Below are 12,532 nucleotides of genomic sequence, written 5' to 3' on the forward strand. Positions count from 1 at the left end.
CAGAATTAGGTAAACTATTGCTGGAACTGATTTATGTTAGCATCACTTGAAAACATCATTTGGCCAGCTATGTTTTAAACACCTTAGCTTGATCTCTGTTTCTGGGTTTTTCTCAAACATTGAAAAAACAAATCAATGGTCCTTTGGCCACTTGAAGCCTTATTTTTTATTTCCCTTAAATAACACGAAACTTCAGGCATGCATTGCAGTACCATAATATGTGTGAATGTGTATGTATATATTTATAGATGTTATATTTATAGTTATAGTTGGATTTTAATAACATTCTCTTCCAGTTATGATTCTTCTTTGGTTATCATGTGCTCTAGGATTCCCACCCTTAGTGGTAACGTGATGACAAATGGATTCCTAAAGTAGTATTTAATGGCCTTTGGGTTTGATACAGCAACTGTTCTTATGTTCATTCACAGGCTTTGTCACAAAACACAGTCCAGTTTATTCCTAGCCCTAGGAAATAATAGCTCCTGACATTTGTAGGATTAAAATATAGGATTAATGATCAGCTTTTAATGTGCAAATTAAGTATTCAGTCTGAGAGTATCAGCCTTCCTGTTACCCATCTTATTTATCCCAAATTTCCTGTTGAAATAAGTGCAGGTAGAGAGTTTCCACCTCAGCCAGCAGGAATCACACTGGTACAAAACTTCTAGACTTTTACGATAAAATAAAAAAAAGTAAGGAAGAATACTTTGGAAAGTAGCATATTTATATTTCTACTGAAATGCCATCAAGATTTCAGAGCAGTTAACGATTAACTTTAAAAACTGCAAGGCCTGAATCTCAACCTAAAAAATAAAAAAGCTGACAGCTGAGCAGAGCTTCCTCTTCCCTGTTGAGTCCTATCCACTTAAATGGGGAGAAAAGGGAAATTTATGGCTTTCATGTTCTAGTAAGAAAAAATCATTGTCTTATTCTCAGTAAAACTGGGAAAGGTGCTTTTTTTCTGAAAACTACGGCATAGCTGCCTGCCTTCTTTAAAGGCTTAATAACGTTCTTTGTCAGTCTTCACTCATGGCAACCCATTTAGAGGCTACTTATATGCATCAAATTATATGGTTAAATACCATTGCATATTTTCGTAACTAGAAAAAGCATTTTTAAATACAATGTTTAAAAGACTTTTCTATTGTCTATGCCACAAGGGGGGACATTTAATTTGCAAAGTCATCTGCATGGCAGTAACAAGTTTCAGGACTGACATTTCTCCAGCTAAATGAAGTCCTTTTTTTCTTTTTAAATTTTTTTTTTCATTTTCAAATAACCTCCTTCCTGCCATTTTGGTGGGATTTAGGTTTTAGGAGTCGACTGATTTATTATAGCATACAAGCTTGATTGGCGAGGCTTTATTTTTCATTGGTATCATGTTTGAAATTATTCTTTGGTCTCAGTAACATAGGTTGACTGGACACATGCATCCCAGAACAGCAGCCCTCAAGGAGGCTTTCAAGAGCCACACACAGAAGTAAGAGCGTGCCTCACACTTGCCACGGGTGCGTCCATGAAAGGCACACTGTCATGCACACTCTCCACTTCGGCAACTCACAGCCCTTCTCCCTCCTTCTTTATATCGTAGTATGCAGAGGCTAACAGGATCTTTATACCATAGTATGCAAAGGCTAACAGGATCTTTATACCATAGTATGCAGAGGCTAACAGGAAAAGTCAATTCAACTACTTGAGAACTTTGGTCCTAACAAACTGCTTCTAAATGTCTCCCGGGAGATTTCTTTTGTTATTTCAATAACAATGCCAATTTAAAAGGATACCTCTGATTTCCAACAATCCAAAGCAATATATTGCTAAGACCCTTTGAGAAACTTAAACCACATATAAATGAACCGTACAGATTCTCTTTTCAGTGCATTTAGATAGCCATGGGAAGCAGAGGTTTCAGAGAAGCGGGTTTAAAATGAATAGGGCATCGCCAAAAGTATAGAAGACTATAAACATTATGACGCACACACTGGCTTTCAGACAACAGCCTTGATTTCAACCAGTGAAAATCCTAGGAAACTTTTTAACAAAGACTAAACTCTTTTAAATGAGCATTCAGCCAGAGCTCCATGTGTTTATCACGGGGCAGGGAGATTTGGAGGAGTGGGAGCGTGGGGGAGCTGAGTGAAGGAGGTCAGGGTGAGTCCTGTGCGCACAGAAGGCCGGGCCTCCTCGCCCTGCTGCAGCCACCTCCTTTCATGCTGAATGAGCCGCCTCTTCAGGCACAGAACCGTCTGTGACTAAGGGGGAACTTCGTGCCCCGTACAGCAGCAGTGAGGTGCTCCTGCGCCGGCCTAGGGAGGTCTGTGTGCTTCTGGGCCACTACCTTTTCCCGTTTGTTTTGAAAGCAAGCAAGGCAGCCATTCCTGAAACGCGCGCCTAGGAGCCTGGGAGCGCCGGCGTCACAGGCCACGTCCAAGAGACCACGTCTCTTGGATAAATAAAGCGCTTCAGAGAAATCCTTGCTCATTCGATAGAGACCATTTAAAAACTGTATTATTTATAATAATACAAATTATTATGTTATAACACCCATAATGACAAAAACTGGCAAAGTTATGATGCATTTATTTTCCTTTCTCTTTCTTCTCTTTCTTCCTTACTTCCTTCTTTTTTATCTTTCTCTTTCTTTCTTTCTTTCTTCCTTTTTTCTTTCTCTTTCTCTTCTTTTTCTGTCTTCCTTCTTTTTCTTTCTTTTTTCTTTCTCTTCTTTCTCTTTCTTTCCCTCTCTCTTCTTTCTTTCATTCTTTATTTCTTCCTTTTCTTTTTTTTCTGAGATGAAGCCTCACTCTGTCACCCAGGCTGAAGTGCAGTGGCCTGATTAGGGGTTACTGCAGCCTTGAACTCCTGGGCTCAAGAGATCTTCCCACCTCCGTCTACTGAGTAGCTGGAATTGCAGATACACCGCACCACACCCAGCTAATTAAAAAAACATTTTTTTTGCAGAGATAGAGTCTTGCTATGTTGCCCAGGCTGGTCTCAAACTCTGGACTCAAGTGATCCTCCTACCTTGACCTCCCAAAGTCCTGGGATTATCGGAGTGAACCACTGTGCCAGGCTGGTATTTTTATTTTCTTATTTTCTTTTTTGAGACAGAGTCTCGCTCTATCACCCATGCTGGAGTGCAGTGGCGCGATCTCAGCTCACTGCAAGCTCCACCTCCCTGGTTCCAGCAATTCTCCTGTCTCAGCCTCCTGAGCAGCTGGGACTACAGGCCGCACGCCACCATGCCCCGCTAATTTTTTTTTTTTTTTTTTTTTTGGAGACGGTGTCTAGCTCTGTCCCCCAGGCTGGAGTGCAGTGGCACAATCTCGGCTCACTGCAAGCTCCGCCTCCCGGATTCATGCCATTCTTCTGCCTCAGCCTCCCAAGTAGCTGGGACTACAGGTGCCCACCACCACGCCCAGCTAATTTTTGGTATTTTTAGTAAAGACGAGGTTTCACCATGTTAGCTAGGATGGGCTTGATCTCCCGACCTTGTGATCCACCCACCTCAGCCTCCCAAAGTGCTGGGATTACAGGCGTGAGCCACCATGCCCGGGCCCCCAATTTTTGTATGTTTAATAGAGACGGGTTTGAGCATATTGGTCAGGCTGGTGGTATTCTTATTTTCTATAGTACATATCTTATATAAGAAAACTAAAGTAGTGATAGGATTTACCTAGTCTACCAGGTTGCTAAAAAACAGGTGTTTAAATTGTGCAATGTTGCGTAGAGGACTATTTGGCAAATATTGGTAACTTCAGCAATCTCTTTCACATCTGACTTCCCCCCAAAGCTCCAGCTGATGCCCACCTGCCCTAACATTATGGTATCTCATCACGGCCATGCAGAGCAGTTTCTATTGAAGTTTCTTTTCTAAATACATCTCCAGGGGTGCCAACTTTGCACTATCAAAAGCCCCAAAATGCTTGGGGAGGTTAATATTTTTAAAAGGCCATTTCTTTCCGACAATACCCAGGTTTGAAATCTGGGTTGAGGATCTTGATCAGGACAAACCCACAAAGTCTTCATACTGAGAAGGAAACATTTGCTCTAAAGAATGAACTAAATATGTTAAAATTAGAAAAGGAAAATTAAGTTGACTTTAGCATTTTCTTAACTGATTTTTGTTACCTGGAAACAACTTCTAAGAGAAGTTAAAAACACTTTAAACTTTTCATTTAAAGTTAAGTGGAAAATGGGGGTAGAAAACAATCTTCAGGAATGAGAAAAAATGCTATTTAAACAAAAAAACTCCACTACTTATAACTCTATTGAATAACTATCAAAAACATTCAGAGATTGTCGAGACTAACTGGCAAATTAATATTATTTTTTAAACTAACTGAAAAGCCTGATAAAAGGCACCTGAAACTATTCCACCAGCATGCTCTTGCTGGGAGGTTGTTCGAGACAGCTTTGGGGTTTTCAAACCTTAAATCAAGTAGAATTGAAAAGTTGACAGAAGCAGAGAAATCCACACACACACGGCTGAATTCAATTATGTTTTGCAAGAAAAGTGACTGAGGTATGTCACAAAAAGTAGGCAAGGAAGATAGATACAATTTCACAATTAACGTCATAGTTCACACATTGGACCATGACCAGTTTATATTTACCAAAGTCACAAAATAATGAATGCTTTATATGTTTCCATATGATTTTTGCATTTAGAAAATGTTTGTAAATTGCCTATCTAAGAAAAAAAATCACTGACTTTCTTTAAATGAAAATTTCCATTTACTTCTTCATCAAATAGTTGTGTTTTCTAATTTATCTGTGGTTCTTTAACCAAGAACAAATATATCATTAAAAAGAAAAATAAAAGACATAAATGATACCTACAAAAGCAAAACGTAGAAGCCTATTTATCGGGTACTCAGAGGGTTGGATAGGCAATTTTCTTATTTTAGAAACCATAAAAAGAACGATGTATTAATTAATTTATTAATTCTTGAGTGAAACTGCCCCAGCGAGTAGCTGTGTGCCAGTGCCAGTGAGGGACCAATTATTATTCGCCCCACACAGGACAATATGGAGAGTGCTATCAGAGGGGACGCCGGGGCTTTTCACCGAGTCCTTGCTGCTGTTGGGCTCTCAGTTGTTTGCTCTATTTTCTTTATTTAGCCATAAGACCGTGATCTGGGGTTTAGGACAGCAATATTTTTACAAAAGGCGCACTAAACCTCCCACATCTGCACAGCTCTCGTGACGATCTGTTCTGCACCCAACGCCGTGTTTTCCTGAGAGTAATATGTCCGCTGTGTCTTTAAAAGAACCACTGTGTCAGCTTTCATCTCGCTGTTTGCACTTTTACCTGTAATCTGATTGTGGGGAGAAAAGGAGAACTTGGGTATCCCTCCCTGGCACCCTGTTACCAATAGCATTTGTTTAGTTAGTAATTCTATCTCAGCCGGGACTTTTCCCATTCGCTGGGTTTGTTGCACTCTGTGTACATAGCTGCATCTCCATGGCAATGGAAAAACATGATGCTGGAGATTCAAAAGGGGGCGAGGGAGTGGAGGAAACACTACCCTCAGGTCCCAGCCTCCCGGGAGGGGCTGGGCTAATTTATATGTCAAGTTAAGGGATGCTGGGACTCAGAGATCAAAGAAGGTCAAAACTGGGCTCTTGGAATGGGAGATATTTATTATGTTTAATATAAATACAAATGTGTCCAAGAAGAGAAACTGAAACCTTAAAAGGCATGTAGATTGTGATTGGTAAACATAAATAACACATCTGAAAATGGGTAGATTGCTAAAATTAACAGGCACTTTTAAAAGCTGTCTTAATTTAAATCAGGATAAATTAAGACAGTGACAACCTCAATTGAAATTGAAAATACAAATCACTTGAAAACGTTGATTAAAATTTCTAACAAGACTTTAGAAATGTCTTGTAATACCTTCTGACTATAAATGCACTTTAGACATTTCTGGTTTCACTCCTCAGCTACATGTTTTGTTATTAAGAGCATTTGTTTCATACCGTTAACAATACAGCACTAGTTTGACAAATTGTGGTATGGGGGTGTGAGTGCCTGATGGAGAAAGAGGCTTTGTCTTTTGGGGGGCCCATTAGTGAAACAACTAATAAGCCTATAGCAAAACTGATATGATGGGAAATGACTTCTATTCAGTTAACTCGATTATTAGTGCTAATTGGGGCCAGGTGAAGCATGGATAATTGAAATTCACAGATAATCCAAAAACCTCTATTTAACCAATAACTTCAAACTTCTTCCCCATCAAACCAATTACCGGAGGAGCTAACAAATAGAAAAAATGGATTAAATTGAATTTCACTTCCCCCAAAGATTACCACTATGATGTCTTTTTTATTGATTAATTCAGAGCAAGAGCCAAAGATTAACTATATTTTAGAGACTAAATTACAGATAGTCCCCAACAATTAAAAAGAAAAAGATTATATTCCAACGGTTTGTTTATAAATCAGTTACTTCAGTTACTTGAAGCTCAGAATGCTTTTTCTCATAGAACAAAGCGTCGATTGGGGTAGGGTACCAAGGTAGCACACAGAGGTCAGCCAGTAACCCAATGACACTGGAAATATATTTAAGATTCTCAGCTCCTTAGTCAAGTTCTTTTGAATCCTAAATCCTTACCCTCCCACCCCTAAATCTCTCTGAGCCTTCAATCTATTTTTTTAACTGAAGTAAAACTCACATAGCCTAAAATCAAAAGTGTACAACTCAGTGGCATTTAGTGTAGTCACGGTGTTATGCCACCATCACCTCCAGTTTCAAAACACTGTCCTCATGCAGAAAGGAAAGCCCCCTTGGACCCATTAGCAATCATTCCCCATCCCCGACTCCTTCAGACCCTGGCGACCTCGGATCTGCTTTCTGTCTCTATGGATTTGCCTCTTCTGGACATTTCATACAACTGGGCTCATAACAATCTGTGGTATTTTGTGCCTGACGTCCTCCACTCAGCATAAGGCTTTTAAGGTTCATCCACGTTGTGGCATGTGCCAGTGTTTCACTCCTTCTCATGAGTGAATAATATTCCATCGTGGGGATACAGCACACTTTACTTATCCATTCCCCCTCTTGGAGGGGTGCTTGAGTTGTTTCCATTTTGTGGCTACTGCGAATGCTGCTGCTATTAAACCTGATTTTGACCCTGTGGTGGCATAAGGAGCTCATCAGGGTGAACTGGAAGGGGTGTGCCCCACTGCTGGTGTCTGGTCAAGCAAACCCTCACCCCTTGAGAGAGGAGTCAGTGGGAGACACCACTCAAGTCTCCATAATGAGGGACAATTTCAGGCTGGGACAACATGGTGGAGGAAGGACCTCTTCAGAGAGGAAGTGCACGTAAGGGGCAAGGACCCTAGAAAGACCTGTGGGACCTGTGGAGAGTATGCACGTCCTTCAGATTGAGGCTGGTTTGAGGCCGGGTGCCATGGCTCACGCCTGTAATCCCAGCACTTTGGGAGACCAAGGCAGGCGGATCACCTGAGGTCAGGAGTTCGAGACCAGCCTGGCTGACAAGGTGAAACCCCGTCTCTACTAAAAATACAAAAATTAGCCGGGCGCGGGGGCACACACCAAAAAAAAAAAAAAACAAACCTGGGCTGAGTGCAGAAATCAGTCCAATCCAGGGAGAAATCTGGCAAATACTCTTGGCCAGCTCCTGTTTTTCTGAAAACATAGGTGCCAGAAGAGCATCCGGTAGCAGCTGCCAAGTTCAATACTAGGACTCCACTCCACAGACAATTCTGTCACCCCATTGTGGGTGTCCTGGATGCCCAGAAAACCCACATCTCTTGATAAAGTCCTCCTGTGGTAAGTCTGCAACCCCTCTGCACCCAGCCCCTCTGCTGACACCCCCTCTGCACCCTGCATCTTTGCCAAGTGGGGAGAGATGCATTCCAGAACTCCAGTGGCAGGATCTGCCCTTGCCGGGATCATGCAGACTTGGCATTTTCCAGTACCTACTGTTGCTTGAGGTTTCTTATAATAGAGCAGGATGAGCAACACGACTTCTCGTTTTGTAATTTGGCACATATGTATATGTTTTATACATACATGCTATGTGTCTATATGTACACACGGCAATACATACGTGTATATGTATACGTATATATGTATGTCAACGAATACCTAAATATATAATCATATGAAACAAACTGTTTATCCCTGTTCCATAAACTTCATATCAATTCAATAAATAAAATTTATTCAAAATCCAATCATCCCAACACATTAACATTTAATTTTTCCCTATTTTCTGTCTGTGTTTGTCATTGAATATTAAAAGTTTTGCTTTTTTTTACTATTTCACCTCTTTTCTAGGTAGTCCATAATTTTAAAACAATATATATGGCACCACTTGGTCTTCACAGCTTTCAAGACAGGACTGTCAAGGCAAGGACACTCCTTAGGGGACCCTGTCCCATAAAGTCAAATTATGCGGGATGAGTCAGTGACGCAGGAGCTAAAAACAGTGTCCCTTTAAAAATGTGCATGCCTTTGAAATGGAATAAGTAAAGTACTTGCAGATGCAAATGGTTTCAAGTTTCACTGGAGACCCAGCGAAAGCGGCTGTTCTCAAAGTTGCCAGGCAGTGTGGAAACGCCCACTGAGGGGCACACAGTGAGGCGGCCACTGGCTCTGTGTCCTTGGGGAAGCCCCTTCTGCGGTCCCCTCCATTGTCTGCGTGACAAAGTGGACGTAGAACTCCCCCATTTCCTGCCCAGGGCGGGTGAGGACCCTGCACACACACGGTGTGTTTGTGAGCTGTGCAGAGTGGGGTCTCCCTGGCAATGGCCACAGCCTCCAGGGGCGCTGACACCTCCCGTCTAACTGGTAGACAGTTTCTGCCTCTTCTTGTTTGGGGATTGGAGAGGGAAGTGCGTCTGGATGACTACTAAGGTAAATATGGAATGGGCACCGCGTCTTCCCTTTCTTCTCTCCCTTCCCACGCACCTGCCTGGCTCCCCGGCTCTCCCGCCCTGGCCAGAGTCAATGTGAGCTGCAAAGTCCATATGTGAACAGCTGTGGGCAAGTCGTGCAACAGTGCTCATGGGACTTACTACGCATCTAAGCCGCTGAACTTCAGCTGGACCCCAAATGGCCTTGGTCACGTTTTGTTTCTGTTTTGTCATTTCCGGCTGCATCTCCCACAGTCTCAGCCCTGCGCTCCTTGCTCTGCCTTCTCCTCCCCACAGCTTCTTTGCAGATAACATCCTGGCCGTATTATGCAACTGAACCCATATTATCCGGGGGAAACTTACCCTCCTCTGCTCTCTAAATCTTCCTTTTCCTTCTGGTTTTGGAGAAAGAGGAGCTCCTTTCCATCAATCAGGTCAACCTCTTCCTGTTTCCTTTCTTCATTCTTCGTTATTTTCCACTCCTGAGTTTTGGACTCTTCTCTCGGTCAATAAGTATATCCGAATTCTTCCAGCTGTAAAACCAACAAATGAAAGGCCTCGTGTACCAAGGCTGCCCCCGCGTGCGGCCCCCCGGGCTGTGTGGCCTTGGCCTGGAACACAGCCCCGCTGCCACCTTCCTGCACTCCGTGGGGGAGATGGGCGGTGCACACTACCCAGAAGTGGAATGTGCATTTCACAGAAAATGACCAATTTAAGCAGAAAATTAAAGCAGAAAACGGGGTGAGAACGGCAGACGCGTGTGTGGGCACCGCAGCGTACACGCTTAGGATCCCGAGTTTATTTTTCTAGGGCCCGTGTGTTGGTGCGCATGCGCGTGCGCCCCCACCACCTGAAATCTTGGTAGTGCCTGTTAACCCGGCAGTAGACCCATGGGTGAATTTACTCTCTTCTCTGTGTCTTTCTGTATTTTCCATGCTTTCTGTGACGAACAACATCATACATACCGCTACTTCTTTTTTTGGGGGGACGGAGTCTCGCTCTGTCGCCCAGGCTGGAGTGCAGTGGCGCGATCTCGGCTCACTGCAAGCTCCGCCTCCCGGGTTCACGCCATTCTCCTGCCTCAACCTCCCAAGTAGCTGGGACTACAGGCGTCCGCCACTACGCCTGGGTAATTTTTTGTATTTTTAGTAGAGACGGGGTTTCACCGCGTTACCCAGGATAGTCTCGATCTCCTGACCTCGTGATCCGCCCACCTCGGCCTCCCAAAGTGTTGGGATTACAGGCGTGAGCCACCGCGCCCGGCCACATATCACTTCTTCTATTGTGCATTCACTGCACACCAAGCACTTCTATTGGGCGTTCACTACACACCAAGCCTAAGTAAGGGCTTTCTGTGCACGCTCTCATTTCATGCTTATGACACTCTGAGAATTAAGACCATTTTGGCCCCTGTCTTACAGATGAGGAGGCTGAGGCCTAGTGCTCCTAGCGGGCTTGGTCAAGAGCAGGAGGCGGAGGTGGTGGAAGGCTGTTTCCCTGCGGTGAGTGCTCACACGGTTGGCGGTGATTTCTCCGCAGGGTCTCACAGGCCGGTGCTCTCAGGAGCCACACCTGAAGAATGGCAGGACCCAGGGTGGGCAGAAGAGGAAGGTGAACTGAGGAACAGTTGCAACAGAGGCCTCGGCCAACCCCATGGAGGGCTCTGAATTTGAGAGCCCTGAGAGTCACTCCCCCTGAGGCAGGAGGCCAGGCGTTGCACCCATGCGCTGGCCACTCGCTGGGGACAGGCTGTGTCCAGGGAGGGTACCTGTGTTTGGGTGAGGTGCCCTTCAAGAAGGGCAGTTCCTGGAGAGTCCCCAGATAGAGGTTGTCAATAGTTGACACTTTCTGCAGCTGGCGGGACAGCGCTTGGTTGAGGGGGACTCTGGGTGGCCCACTACAGTGTCTACCACAAATGCCTACCTGCTCTCCAGGATACATTCAAATCTCGCCACCCCCAGGAGGCCTTCTTAGATTCCCATGGATCAGAATGGGCCTGGGATGCTCTCTTCCCATGTCCCTCAGGCTTGCTTGAGCTGTCTCAGGCATGACAGCTGTTGTGGGTTTGAAAGGCTCTGCCACTAGACTGTGATTCCCTGGGGAAGCAATAATCCCCTTTGGGGACATCACTGACTTCAAAACGGTTAAGGGTAAAAGGCAAAAGACCTGCCCGTTTGGGGACATCACTGACTTCAAAACAGTTAAGGGTAGGCCAGGCGCGGTGGCTCAAGCCTGTAATCCCAGCACTTTGGGAAGCCGAGGCGGGCGGATCACGAGGTCAGGAGATCGAGACTATCCTGGCTAACATGGTGAAACCCCGTCTCTACTAAAAATACAAAAAATTAGCCGGGCGTGGTGGCGGGCGCCTGTAGTCCCAGCTACTCGGGAGGCTGAGGCAGGAGAATGGCATGAACCTGGGAAGCGGAGCTTGCAGTGAGCCGAGATTGCGCCACTGCACTCCAGCCTGGGCGACAGAGCGAGACTCCATCTCAAAAAAAAAAAGGGGGGGTAATAGGCAAAAGACCTGCTTCTGTGGCCAGGCAGCGTGCCTTGGGTGTCACTTGTACCTGGCTTGGGAGTTGTCTAGGGATGACTTTGGGCTGCAGTTGGTGTTCCTGGAAGGCCACAAGACATGGCTGCTCTTCCAGATTTGGTGTGGGTGAGTCCGCTGGGAGTGCTGGCTCTTTCACACTGCTTGGAGGGTTCTGCCCGCCAGTGTAACTCACCCAAACTCACTAAAGCAGCAAATGGCAGCTCCAAGACTTAGCCTCAAGGAGGTGGACATCAGAAGGCATTTGATGAGGAAAGGACTCAGGTGCGGCCGCACCTGGCTGTCTGTGGGTGAGGGCCTGGGCATTTGGGTCCTAAGCAGATGGGTCCTGGGTAGGTGGAGTAGGTCTTGGGCAACTGGGTCTTGGGCAGGTGGAGTGGGTCTTAGGCAGGTACATCCTGGGTAGGTGGGTTCTTCTGGGCAGGAGGGGTGGATTCTGGGCAGGTGGATTCTGGCCAGGCAGATTCTGAGAAGATGGGTTCAGGGAAGCTAGATTCTGGACAGGTGGGTCCTGGGCAGCTGGGTCATGGGCAGGTGGATTCTGGGCAGGTAAGTTTTGGACAGATGGGGTCCTGGGCAGGTGGGTCCTGGGTGGGTGGGTCCTGGGTGGGTGGGTACTGGGCAGGTGGGTCCTGGGCGGGTGGGTCATGGGCAGGTGGATTCTGGGCAGGTAAGTTTTGGACAGGTGTGGTCCTGGTCAGGTGAGTCCTGGGTGAGTGGGTCCTGGGCAGGTAGATTCTGGGCAGGTAAGTTTTGGACAGGTGGGGTCCTGGGCATGTGGGTCCTGGGTGGGTGGGTCCTGGGCAGATGAGTTCAGGGCAGATGAATCTTAGGCAGGTGGATTCTGGGAAGGTAGATTCTGGGCAGGTAGATTCCGGGCAGGTGTGTCCTGGGCAGGGGAGTTCTGGGCAGGTGAGTGTTAGACAGGTGGGTCTTGGGCAGGTGGGTCCTGGGCAGCTGGATTCTGGGAAGGAGAGTTTTAGACAGGTGAGTCTTGGCCAGGTGGATTCTGGGCAGGTGGGCCCACAGATGGCAGGCCTTTAGCAGGGCCGAGGGGAAAGGGGAATGGAGAGGCTTACAACTGTC

The 12,532-nt window shown here is 45.7% G+C and overlaps 1 long non-coding RNA gene across 1 annotated transcript in view, besides 5 other annotated features; it reads left to right on the plus strand.

Annotated features, from left to right (window-relative positions):
* Positions 2,125-2,419: a silencer, noted in NCBI's record as "tiled region #8201; K562 Repressive non-DNase unmatched - State 22:ReprW". NCBI's record gives its function as "represses a minimal TATA promoter and a strong SV40 promoter by Sharpr-MPRA in K562 cells {active_cell/tissue: K562}" and the evidence as "EXISTENCE:reporter gene assay evidence [ECO:0000049][PMID:27701403]".
* Positions 8,330-8,970: an enhancer, noted in NCBI's record as "H3K27ac-H3K4me1 hESC enhancer chr18:74240354-74240994 (GRCh37/hg19 assembly coordinates)". NCBI's record gives its function as "activates a minimal SCP1, AML or CMV promoter by ChIP-STARR-seq in primed H9 embryonic stem cells {active_cell/tissue: H9 hESC(primed)}" and the evidence as "EXISTENCE:reporter gene assay evidence [ECO:0000049][PMID:30033119]".
* The window catches only part of LINC00908 (long intergenic non-protein coding RNA 908), a 31,173-nt gene continuing 27,228 nt past the window's right edge, over positions 8,588-12,532 (plus strand). Inside the window, 2 exon segments of the long non-coding RNA NR_015417.1 lie at positions 8,588-8,896; positions 10,317-10,397. This is a non-coding gene — a long non-coding RNA (long intergenic non-protein coding RNA 908).
* Positions 8,971-9,609: an enhancer, noted in NCBI's record as "H3K27ac-H3K4me1 hESC enhancer chr18:74240995-74241633 (GRCh37/hg19 assembly coordinates)". NCBI's record gives its function as "activates a minimal SCP1, AML or CMV promoter by ChIP-STARR-seq in primed H9 embryonic stem cells {active_cell/tissue: H9 hESC(primed)}" and the evidence as "EXISTENCE:reporter gene assay evidence [ECO:0000049][PMID:30033119]".
* Positions 9,107-9,186: an enhancer, noted in NCBI's record as "active region_13511". NCBI's record gives its function as "activates an Ori minimal core promoter by ATAC-STARR-seq in GM12878 lymphoblastoid cells {active_cell/tissue: GM12878}" and the evidence as "EXISTENCE:reporter gene assay evidence [ECO:0000049][PMID:35858748]".
* Positions 9,610-10,249: an enhancer, noted in NCBI's record as "H3K4me1 hESC enhancer chr18:74241634-74242273 (GRCh37/hg19 assembly coordinates)". NCBI's record gives its function as "activates a minimal SCP1, AML or CMV promoter by ChIP-STARR-seq in naive H9 embryonic stem cells {active_cell/tissue: H9 hESC(naive)}" and the evidence as "EXISTENCE:reporter gene assay evidence [ECO:0000049][PMID:30033119]".

Source organism: Homo sapiens, chromosome 18 (assembly GCF_000001405.40).
Source record: "Homo sapiens chromosome 18, GRCh38.p14 Primary Assembly".
NCBI classification, from domain to species: domain Eukaryota; kingdom Metazoa; phylum Chordata; class Mammalia; order Primates; family Hominidae; genus Homo; species Homo sapiens.